Below are 18,052 nucleotides of genomic sequence, written 5' to 3' on the forward strand. Positions count from 1 at the left end.
TGTAATTATTTTAAGGATTATTTAACTAGAAAATGTGTGACAGTGATATACTGAAATTGGTTTATCATAGCTCACAAGAATAAATTTATTAATAAATTATTAATAAATAATTATTACATTTAAATGATTAATAAATTGGTATTTAATATTAATGATAAATTAGGCATACTTTTCCTAATTCCACACTCAGTAGCATCAGTGCTGACATCTTGAAATTAGCCATTGAAAAAATATTTACACAGTGAAAAATCAGCAAACTCTAAAAATCAGAGTTTAAGAAAAAAATTTCCTCCAGAAAGTCCGCAGTTAGGCATTTATCAGTATGCCACTGCATGCATATCTCTGTTACATATAAATATATATAAAATTTCCTATAAAGTTTGAAATATAAAAATGGATAATCTAATTAGCTATAGTAATTAAAATATAAGATATCTAGGAATAAATATAATGAAAATTGTGCAAATATATATGAAGAAAGTCATAAAAAGTTACTGAAGGACAAAAGGACATACCAGGTATTTGACTGGAATTCTAAATTTTGTAAAAAAGTCAAATCTCCCCAAAAATAATTTCGTAAGTTTAATGTAATTCCAAAAAAAAATCTATGATTTTGGAGGATTGATTAAAGTTTATGTTTTTCATTTGGATAAAAGATTTGCAAAAAAATAGACAAAAATATTTGGAGAAAAATAATACTGAATTTCTATGACCAGTAATTAAAATATTTTATAGACTAATTATATTAATGGGATTTATAACGCAGAATAATGATTATATGCTTGGAACAGTATAGAATACAGGAACAAGTACATAGATATTTAAATTTAATATATAAATATGGTGGCATTTCAAATCCATGGGTGAAATGGTATATCCCTATATAAATAATATTGAAAGAATTGGCTACTTTGGAGGGGAAAAAACAGTTACAGCCTTGTCTCATACCACTGTAACTATTCTTTTGAAGAAGCAGAACTCATAGGTTGCAATTATAAACCAACTTTATCTTTTCTCCTTTAAATATACTCTGATGTCTGATAATATCTATTTACCCTTGTTGGCGGCCCTTCGAGACAAGACCCAAGTGGTCCCACGTTGTGTGCTTTTGTGTTGAGGAGTATAATGGAGGAGCAAGTATCTGCCTCTGATGCATGAGAAACACTAAGGAACCTCTGTTTTGAGAAATTCTGAGAATGCAAATCAACAATTCAGCAGCAACCCATCCCTCATTCTAATATCAAAGAAGTTAGTGACCTAAACATGCTCTTGAAGTTACGTTTTCCATCATGCATCAGACACTGATCCACCACATCCTGAAATTTCAGAGGGCACTCATTGTACTTGCTAAGTGGTCTCCTTAAAGCAAAGGGAGATCCATCTATACCATTCCTCCCCCAGAATGATAGTGAGACTCCTAGTCTCACTAGTACAGTAAGAGCTTTAGTCTCACTAGTACAGTAAGAGCTTTAGTCTCACTAGTACAGTAAGAGCTTTATCCAAAGACCAGACTCTCCTTCAGTCAGCGGCTCCTGACCCTCATGTATTCCTGATGTGGTTGAGAGGTCAAAGTCCTGCAACCATCACAATATAAAACTGTATGGCTGCATATGTCTGGCCTCTAGATACTTAAGAAATAAGGGATCTTTTATATCTTGGTGTCTGAACACCAACTTAAATTTTAGTATCACATTATATATATTTATGAAAGTAAATTCAAAATGGATTCAACATACCATGAAGTATTGAAAGTGTATATATGAAGACTTTTTTATAATCTTGAGTAAGAAAAGTGTCTTCTTACCATAAAGGGTAGAAATCAGAAAAAGATAGATTTGATTATATAAAAGACTACAGTGATGGATAAAGAATATTAAAAAACAAATTATAAACTTGAAAAAAATACTTGTAACGTATATAACAAGTAAATGGTTAATATCCTTACTGCACAAAGATTAGCACAATAATTGAAAATGGCAAAAAAGACATAAATAGGCAAGTCACTAAAGAAATATGCATGGCCTTTCAATATGTGAAAAGATATTAATCTCATTAATAAATGAATGCAAATTAAAACAGCAATGAAGATTTTTGTCTACCATGTTGGCAAATATAAAGATTGATATTTCTCAGCAATGTTAAGGGTATGGGACAACAAAAACTCTCGCGCATTGCTAAAGAAATGAGTATAATTCAGCAACTTTTTGGATGGTAATCTTGCACAATTTATCAATTATGTCACGTGTATTGCCTTCGACCCAGTGCAGTGATGCACTGCCCAGCCCAGCCCCCTTCAGAAATGTGGAACTATTTCCCCAGCTCCTGGGAGTGCTTCTACCAGATAGCCCTCAGCTGTCAATTGTCTTCAGGAATCTCTCTGGAGGAGAGAGCCACCTGCTCAAAGGCAGAACAGCCCTTCCTTGGGCAGACTGCAGCCAGTGACTAATCAATTCAGGGCCAATCTACTCATTCCAACTTGAGGTGACTCTAAGAGGCCATTCCAGCTTAAAATTTCCCTGGGGGAAAAGCAGAGATTTCAGCTTTCCTTGAGAGACTGTAAGGCAGTCAATACATCACTAATCCTGCTTCCTCCCCTCCCTTATATCCCACAGGTGTTGACTTTACCAGCACTCCTAAATACAACTCCTAAATACGATCTTCACCTTCACCTCCAAGTATGCTATTGGGAAACCTAATCTGAAATGACCAGCTATTCTATATCTAAGACTTTATCATAAGGAAATAAGTGCTAAGTGTATAAAGGTGTAAGAGGCAGAATGCGCCTTCACAGATTAGTATATAAAAGAAAAAAATACAAGCTAAATATCCGGTAATAGGAGAGTGATTAAATACATTATAGACATCAAATCATGAAGTTAATAAGCCAGTTATAGAATAGTATACATTTGACTAAAATTTTAAATATCCCATGTTTAGATTTATGTTTATATATTCATAAAAATGTTTGGAAGGATACTTCAAATGCTCAACAGTGTTTATCCAAGTATTCACCTACTCATACAGTTTGTATGTGCCCACACCCAAATCTCATGTCGAGATGTAATCCCCAATGTCAGAGGCGGGGCCTGGTGAGAGGTGACTGGATCATGGGGGCAGATTTCTCATGAATAATTCAGCACCATGCCTTTGGTGCTGTAATATGGTTTGGCTGTGTCCTCACCTAAATCTCATCTCGAACTGTAGCTCCCATAATTCCCATGTGTTGTGGGAGGGAACTGGTGGGAGATCATTGAACTATGAGGACATTTTCCCCCATACTATTCTCGTGGTAGTGAATAAGTCTCATGAGTTCTGATGGTTTTATAAGGGGTTTCCCCTTTCACTTGGTTCTCATTCTCTCTTGCCTGCCACCAGGTAAGACGTCCGTTTGCTCTTCCTTCATCTTCCACCATGATTGTGAGGCCTTTCCAGCCATGTGGAACTGTGAGTCCATTAAACCTCTTTCCTTTATAAGTTACCCAGTCTTGAGTATGTCTTTATTAGCAGGGTGAGAACAGACTAATACATGCTGTCTTCCAGATAGTGAGTTCTTGCGAGATCTGGTCGTTTAAAGTATGTGGCACCTCCCTCCTTTCTCTCTTGGTCCTGCTTTCACCACGTGATGTGCCTGCTCCTGCTTTGCCTTCCACCATGAATAAAAGCTCCCTAAGGCCTCCCCAGAAGCAGATGCTGCCATACTTCCTGCACAGCCTGCAGAACTGTGAGCTAATTAAACCTCCTTTCTTCATAAATTACCCAGTCTCAGTTATTTCTTTATAGCAATTCAAGAATGGCCTAATACAGAAAATTGGTACCAGAAGTGAGCCATTGCTATAAAGATACCTGAAAATGTGGACACAGCTTTGGAATTTGTTACCAGGTAAAGGCTGGAAGATTATGAAGGGCTCAGAAGAAGACAGGAAGATGAGGGAAGATTCAGAACTCCTTAGAGACCGGTTAAATGGTGTGACCAAAGTGCTGATAATAATATGGACAATTAAGTCCAGGCTGCTGAAGTCTCAGATGGAAAGGACTAACTTATTGGGAAATGGAGCAAAGGTCACCTTTGTTATGCTTTAGCAAAGAATGTGGCTGCATTATGACCCTGCTTTAGGGCTGAAATTGAGAGTAATGACCTAGGGCATCTGGCAGAAGAAATTTCTAAGCATCAAAGCATTCAAGATGTGATCTAGATGCTTCTAACAACCTATGCTCATATGCAGTAGCAAAGAAATTACATGAAGTTGGAACTTATATTTAAAAGGGAAATGAAGCATATAACTTTGAAAAGTTTGCAGCCTGGCCTTGTGGCACAGAAAACAAATGAACAAACAAACAAACAACCAAAAAATAAAAAATAAAAATTAATTAATTAATTAAATAAATAAAAAAAACCTTTTTCTGGAGAGAAATTCAAGCAGGCTGTGGAGCTACTACTTGCTAGAGAAATGTGCATAATTAATAGGAGCCTAGGTGCTAATATCCAAAACAATGGGAAAAAGGCCTCAAAGGCATTTCAGAGACCTTCACAGGGCCCCCTCCCATCACAGGCCCAGAGGCCTAGGAGGGAAGAATGGTTCCATGGGCGAGGGCCAGGCCCTGCTGCCTTACACAACCTTGGGTCTCTGCTCCCTGCATCGTGGCTGCTCCAGTCATGGCTCAGAGGGGTACAGCTCAGGCCACTCCTTTAGACAGTGCAAGCTGTAAACCTTGGTGGCTTCCATGTAGTGTTAAGCCTGCAGGTGCACTGAGTGCAAGAGTTGAGCCATGGGAGCCTCCATCTAGATTTCAACGGCGGTATGGAAAGGGCTGGGTATCCAGGCAGAAGCTTGCTGCAGGGGGAGAGCTCTCACAGAAAACTGCTACTAGGACAATGTGGAGGGGAAATGTGGGGCTGGAGGCCCTACATAGCATCCCCACTGGGGCACTGCCTAGTGGAGCTGTGAGAAGTAGGCCACCATCCTCCAGACCCCAGAATGGTAGATTCACCAACAGCTTGCACTGTGCACCTAGAAAAGCCACAGGCTCTAAATGCCAGCCCATGAGAGCAGCTCCAGGGGCTGAACACTGCAAAGCCACAGGGATAGAACTGCCAAAAGCCTTGAGAGCCCACCTCTTACAACAGTGTGCCCTGGATTTGGGACATGGAGTCAAAGGAGATTATCTTGGAGGTTTAAGATTTAATGACTTCCCTGCTGGGTTTTGAACCTGAGTGGGGTCTATAGCCCTTCATTTTTTTGGCCAATTCCTCCCTTTTGCAATGATAGTATTTACACAATGTGTATACCCCCATTGCTTCTTGAAGTATCTCTTTTTTGATTTTGCAAGCTCATAGGCAAAAGGGACTAACCTTATTTCAGATGAGACTTTGGACTTTGGACTTGTGAGTTAATGTTGGAATGAGTTAAAACTTTGGGGATTATTGGGAAGGCATGATTGTATTTTGAAATTTGAGAAGGACATGAGATTCAGGAGGGGCCAGGACAGAATGATATAGTTTGTATCTGTGTCCCCACCCATTGAAATGTAATCTCAGTGTTGGAGGTGGAGTCTGGTGAAAGGTGACTGGATCATGGAGGCAGATTTCTCATGAATGGTTTAGCACCATCCCTCTTGGTACTGTCCTCATGATAGTGAGTGAGTTCTTGTGAAATCTGGTTGTTTAAAATGTGTAGTCAACCCACCCCTATTGCTCTCTCCCTTGCTCCCATTCTGGTCATGTGATGTGACTGCTTCCCCTTCACCTTTCACCATGATTCTAAGTTACCTGAAGCCTCCCCAGAAGCCCAGCAGATGCCAGCATCATGCTTTCTGTTCAGCCTGCAGTACTGTGAGCCAATTAAGCTTCTTTTTAAATATATTATCCAATCTCAGATATTTCTTTATGGCAAAGCAAGAATGGACTAATTCAGAAAAATAACACCTACTAAATTGATTTGTTTTATTTTATTGTTGTTTTTGTTGTTTACAGAAAAAAGCCATTTAGATATTTGCAATACTTGGTAAACAAAAGCCAATGGAATCTGTTAATAAATACAAGTTGAATGTTTATGCTTGAATCTCTCTTTGGATAAAGAATACGACATGAAAGTACCTTTTCTAACTTTCATGACCTATGTAATATAGCTGCTGGCATTTTCATGCTGCATGTTCATAAAATGTTTTGATTTCCTCAATAGAAAGGTAATCTGTTAGGACAATTGCTTACATTTCTAAATAAATGTAATCATTCTTCATTTCATATGCTCCTTATTCAGACATATTTGGAGGCATCAACAGAAGATGAAAGGACACAAGACCATGACTTTAAACATTTAGGTTCAAATCCTGGTTCTATCTGCAATTACGTATGTAACCCTAAAAACAACTCTGTGTCTCTTTCCTCATCACATGTGAGAGGAGATTTGTGAGAATTCATATCTTCCTTATAGCTGCAACAACATCTAGAAAGATTCTTCTCTAAGAAGAGTTCCTTATAGCTGCAACAACATCTAGAAAGATTCTTTTCTAAGAAGAGTTCCTTATAGCTGCAACAACCTCTAGAAAGATTCTTTTCTAAGAAGAGTAAAGTGATATAGTAATATAAAGATAAATGGTAGCCCATGAGATTTAAATTGTTTTTGCAATCTTGGAAATCTGTGTTATCCTACCTGTCTCCTACACTTATCTATATTGGGAATCCTCATTCAACTCCAGATCCCATATAACATCTGTGAGCTGGGTGTTTTAGTTGAGCCAGATAGAGGAGTAACTAGTAGGTCCAGGCAATAGAGTACCAGTAATATTTCCAGGATGTAAAACACCCATGGCTAGGAGACAGGATTCTAGTATGGGCTCTGCCAGGAATTCCTGATATGGCCTTTACTATTCACTTGCCTCTTAGGACCTCTTTCACTAAAAATAGTAAATACACACGTACGCACATAGACACATAGTTACATATATACATACATTCACATATAAATGGTTCAGAAAATAATAAAGGCATAAAACAACATAATCTAAACTTTTCTTACAGTTCAAGAACACTTGAATAAGTGAACAGTATAAGTGAATAATATAATAATATCAACTTACACATAAATATTATATTATTATATATTATGTTGTTTTATGTTCTCAGGCATACTGCTCATCTTACTATTTGTATTTAATTTCCCTGAGCTTTAGCATCTTATTGAGTCAAATATGGGCCAATAGTTAAAGAGAAGATCTCTGGGTTCTCTCGAGACTCTAAAATCTCAATCTCTGTTTATGGCACACATTTCAGACTGTTTCATGTGGTGTGTGTGTGTGCGTGTACGTGTGTGTGTTGTATCTCCCCTTGACATTTAGCCCCAAAGTGATAGACCTCAAGCGGGGAGTCATTCATTCATTCATATATTTAGTAATTTGATGGTTTATTTTGTGTAAGGCACTGTGGTGAATATAAAAGTAAGACGAACGTCTTGCTTCCCTAGACTAACATTTAATAGGTATTATACAAATCGTATAGAAATAATGACAACATAAGATAGAAAATAATATGTATGAGTAGTGAACAAGAAGTGTGAAGTGTTTTGGACATTCAGAGTAAGGATAAAATGCTCCCATATAGGGGAGCTCACACATGGAAGGTTTCATCAAGAATATGGCCTTTGAACCAAGCCTTAAGGATGGAGAACAAATCATATCAAAATTCTTTGTATGTGGACAAGATAACAGAAAAAAATCAAGAGCAGAAGTTCTTACATCCAGAATTTCTCCCTCCTACTGGCAAGTCAAATCCTAAGTAAGTTGATGTTTATTACAGGCTTCAGAAATTTCTTGTCTTTTATTGGTAGTAAATCTAGTGAAAATGTAGTTTACTGGGTTTTTTCTTTGGGCTCACTTTTCAAAGAACACTATTTTACAGCCTAATTGATTAGTATAGAAAATCTAAATATCAATATTACTTTAAAGTTGACCCCAGGGTCTCTGAATAGGTGCACTTATGCCTTATTGATAAGCCTCTCAATAATAAAACTATTTGAATGTGAAACACATCAAACATTTTAGCTTCTTTCCTGTTTTATTGCCTCAATAGGCAAAAGTCTCTATACTCAATAAAACAAATCTGCTTTTGTTTTTATTGCCTTGTCTTTGAAATTGTGGCCCTTTGTCTTACAACCAATGGTGGAGCAGTTACATAGGAAGAAAAGAAATGGTCGTATTAGAGTACAATGCTTATTTGCTAGAAACAAACAAGCCAATTTTAGTGAAAAAAAACTGACCTAACTCTGTGCTAATTTCTTCAGACTTAGTAGCCATTCCAATTCTCTCTGACATTTAAAAATTATAAGGCACAGCAAAAAGAAATTCTTAAATGTCAGAATCCTCATAATTTCTTCAACTTTTGCCACTGAATTCTTAACTCCTTCCCCAACCCCCCACGCTGCCCCCAGCCTGTGAGTATACTGGGGCAGAAGAGAAGCTAGAAGAGGTACCATGTATATAGTTCTGCTGGTAGCAAGGCTGTTCAGTCTGACATATACCACCCAATGCAATCCTCAGGCCAGGTTCTCTGACAGGCTCCTTCAGAGTCATTTCACTGCATCACTGGGCCTATTTTAAAGGTGGAGTCAATGGAAGAAGAAAGTCTGAGAAACTGAGATACCACTATTCTCTTCCCAACATTTCTTTTTCATTAACCCATTAAGGTGACTATTTTTAGCTACTGCTGTGGTGCCACATTTGTCTTTAATCTAGTGAATTTTGATTCAAAAGGGGCCAGAAATCATATGGTGATTCTAAATGAGATGTCAGAAGCAGGGAATGTAGTAGTAATAATAAGAAGACAGAGGGAGGAAATTACAAGTAGAAAGAAGACAAGAAGGATGAAGAAAAGGAGAAAGAGAAAGAGAGCAAAGAAAGAGATATAAGGTTTACGACACACTTAGAAAAGGAAAGACACACTGGTGTCTTGTATAAATTGTGACCATAACACAGTGAGGATGGCATTGGTACACATTTTACATACAAATAACCAGTGATTGAGGCTCAAAGATGTAAAGAGCTTACCTTCCATCATACAGCCAACGAGTGGTAGAACTAGGATTCAAAATCCCACACAGTTTAATCACTGAGGGTATCCGCTTCTCAAAAGCTGTGGGAGGAAAGTAGTATCTCTAATGAAATTGTATTACGTTTAGAAAAATTTGTGTAAGTATTCTATGATCTAAAAATACTAACTCAGCACAGGATATATTGAGTATTTATCAGTATGATAACACCTCTTAATCAATACTTGCTAGTGTCATTGTCAAAGCACTGAAATAAAGGTGGAGATATTCTCTTCTGCTTTTCTTAATATTTTATGTGAACTCCCTTCTTATAAATTCCTATTTTTAAAACCACAAAATAAAGGAGGCCCCTATTCCTTTTTTCTTCTATCATATTTTCATATACATTCTTGGAGCTGATGTGTGTGTGTGTGTGTGTGTGTGTGCGTGTGTAATAGATATGAAACAACATCGCACTTTATCAATTATTATTGTTGGTTAACATCTCAGTCAACCTCATTTTCTCAGTTCTACCTTCTGAGGGATCCTGCTTCTTTTTTCAGGGTTGTTGCAGTTTTCATTTTTTATTTTTTTTTAACATTTATTGACTGTCAACAAAAAAGGCTTTATTTTCTACCAGTTTCCTCAATTTAGAAATACAATAATTATCGTAATGAAGAGTATTGGTTAACGTTCCACAAAAAGGAGATTTTAAAAAGGAATCCTTATTTTCTAGTCAATAAACCTACCCTGTTATTATAACAATATTTTCTCTTAATTTTTAAAATATTATCTAATCAAACAATTTAGAGAACCCTGATTTGAGGGTGACCCTTTATGTTAATGGAGACATTTTATATTGGCTAGTCAGAGGTAGACGAACTGTGTGCTCTGTAAATTCTACTGTAATTGTGTCCATTCTCTGATTTTGCTTCAGTTTGGTTGTTAGCTATAAAATTACTGGTAAGTAATAAAACACAGGTCAAAAGTATTAAACCCTTGTTGCAAATATTACCAAATCATAACAGGGAAATATCATCTGAAAGCCACAATTGCTAGCATTTACCTGTAAAATATGGTTTAAATAATAGGCCTCTTTTTTTTCTTTCTTGGTTTGGCTTATTAAGATTTTACATTTCTCCTATAACTTGCTATCCAAATGAAAGGGACTGTTTCTGGAAACCACTCTGGTCGATTCTGCTTGATAATAAATAATCTTTAATTATTAAATATTCATAGAGGGTTTTAGCCATTTTATTTTTGTCTGGCAAGGAATTGCATGCCATATAACCATGTGTCTCTAAAGTATAATGAAAGAAGATGAATGCTTGTAATACTCCCTGTGGCTAATTCTTTCTAATCCATTGCCCTTCTTTAAAAAAGAACAGTTGTGATCTTATTTATGATGTTTTAAGGCTCCATAGAGCTCTTACAAATGTTCACTGACTTGTAGTTCTATATGAGGCTATGGTGCTCATGCATTGGTCAAAACAAACAGGAGCAAAACAGTAGGGCACAGAGTGGGGCTTGGTCAAAACAGGGAAGAGCAAAGGCAAAAACTTGTATTGTAGTGATTATGTTGCCTTTTCTTCTCATTACATGATATCTCCCATTAGTAAAACTTACTCGACCAAATATTTGTTCCACCCTCCTCCTGTGATCTGACATCTCAGTAAATTTATGGCCAGCATTTCTCAACATGCATTTCTAAAGAACAGTTGGTTCAAAGAAATACTAGCAGATGTTACTTGAAAAAGAGTTCTGAGATCAGATAAGTTTGGGAAATACTAAACTATAGAAAGTTAAACAGGTTTCTTTTCTCAAGGGCTTCTTAGAGTTTTTGGTATGATAATATTCACTGTGAATCCCCACGAAAAGCATATAGATTTGCAAAACTTCCAGAATGCATTTGTCCTTTGAAACTTTTTTCACAGAATATGCTTATGAGAATAATGTTCCCCAGAACCTAATTTAGGAAACACTGAACTAAGTAACTGTAATGTGACTGCTGCGTGCATCTTTAAATATAGGAGGCAGGTAGAGGAGTAGGTAATTGGAAAGGCTAACTCTTCCTCTAAAACAATTGGCCAAAATACAAAATGAACTTGAAACTGTCAAAGGAGAAACAATTGATACAAAAATGGATACTTTTCATGGAAATACTTACTCCAAAGTGGTATAACACTCTCTTCACATAGATAGAATTAGCTTCATTCTAGCCTCCTGAGGTCAAACTGGTCACAAAAATCATGGTTTCTGTCTAAACTACCTCGAAAGATAAAGTTCTGTCACTGCAGATATCTAAAAATAAACTGAATGATCAGCTTAAAGCAAGGTGGAAGACATTGGGATTTTGGTTAGATCAAATACTTTAAATACCCCTTCCAACTTTGACAGTCTATGGTTCTAAGGGTATATATAGCTTATAATAGTCTATTCCTACAGAAAATGACCAAGCCACAGCTGGTAGTACATGTTTTCCTTAGAGATGATTAAGACAGTGCCAAAATGGGTTATTTTGTTTCTTCAAAATGGTTTAGTGGTGTTAATGGACTGAATGCTTGTGTACCCCAAAAATTCATATGCTGAAATTCTTTCCCCCAGTGTGATGGTTAGAAGGTGGGGCCTTTGAAAAGTAATTAGCATGAAGGTGGTGCCCTCCTGAATGGGATTAGTGCCTTTCTGAGAAGAGAGGCAAAAGAGATTATCTTTCTCTCTGCAATGTGAGGATACAAGAAGACAGCCATCTATAAACCAGGAAGAGGGCCTTCATCAAGAACCGAACTATGCTAGCACCCTGATCTCAAACGCTCGGCTTCCAGAAGTATATGTTTGTTGCTTAAGCCACCCAATCTATGGTAGGTATTCTGTTATAGCAGACTAAACTAACACAAGTGGCCATTACAGTGGCGGATGCTAGAAATTCAGGAGGCATTCACAGAGTGCATCTACCCACACATATTAGCAAGGGAAAAAGGTTTATATATATTTCCCACCTCATGTAGAAAATCTCAATAATTCTTTGCTCTAGAAATCTGAAAGGCTTCATTTGCCTCCACAAATTATAGAACTGAGTAAGTGTTCCCAATTCATGTACTGCAAATTTAGAATTTTATAACAACCTATCACATTACTACACAAACATGCTTATTTTGAAGGTGAAATAACTATCATCATTTATAATAGTCTTATGAATGATTACTATTTATTTAATATTCATAAATTTTTCTATGTAAAATTATCTTTTTATTCTATCTGGTAGGGAGAATGACTTAACCTGGCAGCATCTTTAGTCCTTCAACCATTTCCTGTTTTCTATAACCAGGTTCTAATGTTAAAGCATTCCACAGTCCACACACTCTACCCAGGGGTTAACCAGGAAAACAAGTTCAATGTTGTGTGTATGCTTTAACTGTATATGTTTCTCTCCATCCAAAAATCTACAGCATGACTGGAAGAAATTATTAGGTCATCTTAACTAAACCAATGAGGCCTTTCTTCTTTTATATTTTTTATTCAAGCCCTATAAATATCCTAATTACCTATTTGAGGGGGATTACATCTCCCTAGTTTATCGATCTTCCACAATGTCCCTCATTCCCAAATCATGTCTTAAAATTCAGCCTCAGAGTATTTTCTCCTCAAGTCTTGTATAACCTTTATCATCTTGTCACATTATTTAATGACGTAATAAGATTTAAAAACATACCATATGTGTGTATGTGTGTGCATATACACACCTACTTAAGCTCTCCTATTATCTGTGCAAGTGCTAGTAAGGGTGGATTCCTACCAATTTTCTTCTCCAATGGGTGCACACCATTGCAAAAGAACCTAGAACTAGGAGTTAGAGGACATAAATGGGACCAGTTGTTTATCCTCTCTGACATTCTGCCTCTTCATCCATAACTAATGGATGTGAGCCAGGAGCCATAGCTTGCATTAAACACTTGCTTAAAAATCTAGTACATTTTTTTCCTCTTGGATTTGTCCAATTATTTTATTCCTGCAAATATACCCTAGGCACTCTTGTAGACACTTAGGGAGGCCCGAGCTCATTGATCTAACAAAATAAAGATGAATGGGAAATAGAAGCTCAGGAGCCAGTGGGTCTTCCAGAATAACAAGTCATCTTTTTTTGGTCAGGGAAGAAAGAGAACTTCCAGCAACAGTTCCTAGCATAAACAGTAGTATTAGCATGCCAGAACCAAGTTGTGTTATGTCAGGCTGCCACATCAGACATTGTGCTTTATTTCTCCTTTAAAAGACTGACTGAATGGGTCTTATCAGTCTTCATCAGAAATGTCCACAGTCCATGCTACCTCTCTGCTCCATCCTAACCAAACATACAGTCTGTATCCAAGTCAATGGTTCTATGATCATAACAATTTTAAGCCCATAAGCTTAAGATAGTAATTAATCTAGTAGCTATTTAAAGGGAGTTTTGTTATATGGTGCATTAAGTCAGGGAAAGCCAGGTACACGAGGGATTCCCAGAAGTTTCCTCTATGTACATGTATTTACCTCAAAATGCTGTAATTAAATTCAGTGAAATACATGTGTGAAAATCCTTTGAAAACTACAAAGAACTATATAAGCATATAACACTCAAAACTACCTGACCCTCATTATCCACAAATGTTTAAGTGCTAAGTCATTTTTCCATAATTTCTTAGTAGATATTTTTAGATCTATTTGAAAACACACTAATTCCTTTAGTTACTAGAGAATAAGTCTTTTGCATTCATTATATGCAAAATATAATTCATACATCCATATAGTTGAGGCAGGATTTTTTGCTCCACAGTTCAGCTAAATCCAGGTTTTTGTCTCACAACCAGGAAAAATTAGGCATGCAGACACATTGAAAGCAAAAGGAAAGCTCTCAACTAAAAGAGGGGTCCTGCATGCAGGTTCCCCCTCACAAATTGAATACCAGGCCACCACACATGAGTTGAAAGGGCCAGGCTCCTCCTCTCCATAAGGCACAAATTCCTGGTGGCTCCACGACATTCTCCCAGTGCATATGCAACCCTTGGTCTGAGCCACCCCACATTGATTTATTTCAGCTTACTGCGCACGTGTTAAGGGATGGAATTTTTCACTGTGGTCATGTTTAGGCAAGCCCTCTGTGCACAATGACCTGGGCAGGTCAGAGGTTCCCTGAGGACCCTTCCCTATTTGCCTAGGCATTTGGCTGTCTCTTGTCTCTATTATAATGACATACTTATCTTCAAAATATGCTGCTAAAATTTTAACAAATTCCTTTAGTCATGAACTGCAAACTTAAAAAGTTGCCAGTAAAACTCACTTCCTAAACGATTGTTTTTAAATAATATTATTTTAAATTTTTCAAAATGTGCTTGATGTGGATTGCATTCTTTGTAAAATAGGTAATGACTTTCCGTCTATATCTGAGTTTTCTATTGAATACATTTGAAGTTAACAGAAAATATAAGGAATGGGTTATATACTTGCTTCCAAATTTGTCATTGTTAATCTGGCTATAGAAAGTTCGCAAGGTCCATTTATTTTCCTTAATACCTAGGAAATGCCACAAGATACGTATCATGTCATATTTGTAATTTAAATATCTTTATAGTCAAAAAATAAAACTATTGTGTGATTTTTTTAATGAGTCATGGAAGAGTACTGCATTACAGGCACAGAGTTCTATTAATGATTATATTATTGGGCATTAGATATAGGTAATTGTCATCATTTTCACACAAATACACAAAAACATTTTCATGCCCTATTTAATTACTTGATTTATCAGTGGACATTTAATAAGTGCCAGTCTAGATGCTGCCATGGGAACTATATCTCCCAGAGTGTACAGCATACAAAAAAAGATTGGCAGTGCACAAGGAAAAAGAGTAATGGTGGGTGTTAGGAATGAGAAGCTCAGGAAGCTTTTCATCTGAGATACTACTATGAACATAACACTCCCAAACTCCCTCTTACATTCTCTCACTCTCTAGATGTCTGGTTTGCACAAAAGAGAGCTGGCGCCATCTAATTTTTGTGTGGAAATCCGAAGATGTCCTAAGGGCATGTGAGTATATGTCGGTCAGAGTCAGGTCAGAAAAACAGAAACAGCATTTCGATAGGGAATTGGTTACCTGGGCACTGGAGAACTGGACTTTTAACAAGAATACATGGAGGTAACACAGACATAGTAACTTCAGGGAGAAGCTAACTCCCTAGGGATGGGGTAACAGAGAGAAGAGGTTGAAGGAACCAGATTTAGAAGTTTGGAGGGTGAATTGTATAAAGCTGGGTCCCCTCTGAGGAAGAAATGCTCTCCACGTAGTGCTGATGATTCTAAGTGAAAGTAACGGTGCTGGTTCCAGGAATACAGGGGGAAAGCTGGAAACTCTAGCCAGTTTCCAATACTCAAGGTGAAGGGTCATTGCCAGGGTGCTGGTCATAGGAAGTCATGTAAAACATGTCAGAGCAAGTTCCTTCTCCACCCCCCAGTTTTATAGTATCACGTTAGTGATACTATAGCAGAACTTAGCAGAGAAACAGCTTGAAAATGAGAGGTGAAATTTGCATGGTCTTAGTCCCAATATCACAAAGCACAATATGGAAGAGTAGGTTTCGAGCTAATCAGCACTGGGAACCTGAGAGTATAGATCTGAGGGCTGGCAGTACATCAATCCACCTGGAGTGCTGTTGGTTCCTCCAGCTCTTCCCTCTGTCCCCTACCCCTAATCCCTGGGGAAGTATGTGCCCCCTCCTGTTACTATCTCTGTGTTAACTTCTGTATCTTCCTGTTACCTTTCCTGCCCTCCAATACCAGTTTAGACAATTGTCTACTTGAAATTTTCATTGTTATGTTTTCCTGACAAAGACAGACTGCTTGACCTTCTCTTGCTCTCCTAACCTTACAAATCCCATAGGGTCTACCACTGGGTGGTGCCAGCCCTGGTCAAATGCTGTGACTTATGCTGATCTGTTTGCCTTAAAACCTTCCCTCCACCTGGGCCTGGATCCTGCCCAGTTCTCTTAACTAGTGCCTGACGCAGACTTCATCATCTCTTAATTATTCTGACTAGGTAATCCAACCTCAATTTACATCCTGTGTTTCCATCGAAAGCCATATTACTTCTAGCTTGATGGATTTCATTACTGATCAAGGCCTCACTTAAACAAGTGACATGTCTCATGGGAACTTCCAAAGACATTCATCAGAGAATTGCACCGTAGCCCTATCTAGCTGGCTCCTTACCATACTATTAGGAAAGCTGTATGTGGGTGGGTATGTCCTTGCACAGTGGAAGGATAAGTTAAGGTAAAATATTAATAATTAACAAATATATATATGAAATAAACTGGTTGTTACTTAGCTCATTAGTTCACATGCATTATTAGCCCATTTAATTTTCAAAATAACCTGTGAATTAGGTAATATTTTTACTTTACAGAGGAAGTTCAGCAAAATGAAGGAGTGTACTCAAAGCTGAGCCCAGATACAAACCCAGCCCTTCGTGGTTATAAAACCTCTTCATCTGCTGGCTTCTTGCTTTTCAGTAGAGTACCAGGGTCAGACTTCAGCCCACCTGGAAACTCACTAGCATAACTCAACTGATGTGAAGATGAAATATTGTCCTCGTATCCTAACTGACTGCCCCTTTCCTATATAATGATTGGAAATTCAATATTGACCCAATTCAACAAAGATTTTGTGAGCCTTGTCTATGAGGCAGGCAAGTGGTAATAATAGATAATAAACTTACTGAGGGCTTATTGTGTTTGGGGCATTGTTTCAAGAACATGAATGTCTCATTTAATTTTCTGAACAACTCTAAGATAGATCCATTATTAACAACCCCATTTTACAGATGATGCAATTGAAGCCCAGAGAGGCTAAATGATGTGGCTATGATGTCACAGCTAGGAACTGGCCGAGCCAAGATAAGAACGTAGGCAGCATGACTCTGAAGCCTATGGTCTTAACTTGTATGCTATATTTCCTCTTGTGTAAGAGGCTGAAGAGGAAAAAATGAGTCAGACATAGGGAAGAGGACCAAACACATCTAGAAACATAAGTAATGTAATAATCACCCTTGCAAAGGAATACAGACTGTAGAGAAAGTAGCAATTAGTTTTAGAGAATGAAGACAATAACTTTTGAGCTAGTTCTTAAGTATGGATTTCAGAGTTTTAGGAGAAGAATCAATAAGTCCTGGTGATGGGACACGGAAGAGAGATGGATGTCCAGGGTGGCTCTGTGGAGGGGCAGATCTAAGAAGGTAGACGTGGAGATTCATTTTAGACAATGTACGTTTAAGTGAGTGATAAGAATTAGGCAGCACCCCCACCTCCCCACCCCCACAAATGAAGGTCTAGATTTAAAGATAGGAATCAAAACTACATTATAGATTGAAATTTCCATTACACAAGTAAGAGGTGTCCATAGATGTGATAAGTTGTCCTAGAAAGAGTAGTAGAAACAAAGAAATAAGATTTTTCTCACTTTTTCTTCTGGGCAGTTACCTACTATGATCAACAGTAGGGTCAAGATAAAAAGGCATAGAACAGAAAGGAGAAGGCAGCCTCTGACATCAGGAACTGGTGGCCTGATATTAACATCTGAGCCCTGATGTGTTGCTATGAGCTGGCCTAGTACCATCAGCCAAGACTTAGTTCTCCTGTTGAATACAAAGGGTTTCACAGAACATCAATATCAGACAAGGCCACTCTGTGATCATGACAGAACTAGGCAATAAGACCACTCTGTAATCATACCTGAAAACAAATCATGAACATTTTCCAAACCATAAAAATGACCAAATATCTCGCTATCCTAGCTAATACTAGTTACTACTGCTTCTTTACCAAGTACAGTTTTAGTCTACCCTGCAGTTAAATGAGAATTATGGAAACACCCAGCCATAGAATTGTACCCACCTATTGACAGTACCCACTCCAGAGCAAACCTTCACTTACTTGGACCCACCCACACATCATGCAACTAAACTCTGAATCTCATAAATCCTTTCTAACAACATCTTACTGGATAC

General features: G+C 37.6%; 1 long non-coding RNA gene across 1 annotated transcript in view; it reads left to right on the plus strand.

Moving 5' to 3' along the window:
- Window positions 1-18,052, plus strand: part of LOC105373727 (uncharacterized) — a 70,096-nt gene that overhangs the window by 42,897 nt on the left and 9,147 nt on the right. Inside the window, exon 2 of the long non-coding RNA XR_923547.2 lies at window positions 15,005-15,078. This is a non-coding gene — a long non-coding RNA (uncharacterized LOC105373727). The remainder of the gene's footprint in view (window positions 1-15,004; window positions 15,079-18,052) is intronic.

Source organism: Homo sapiens, chromosome 2 (genome assembly GCF_000001405.40).
Source record: "Homo sapiens chromosome 2, GRCh38.p14 Primary Assembly".
Lineage (NCBI taxonomy): Eukaryota > Metazoa > Chordata > Mammalia > Primates > Hominidae > Homo > Homo sapiens.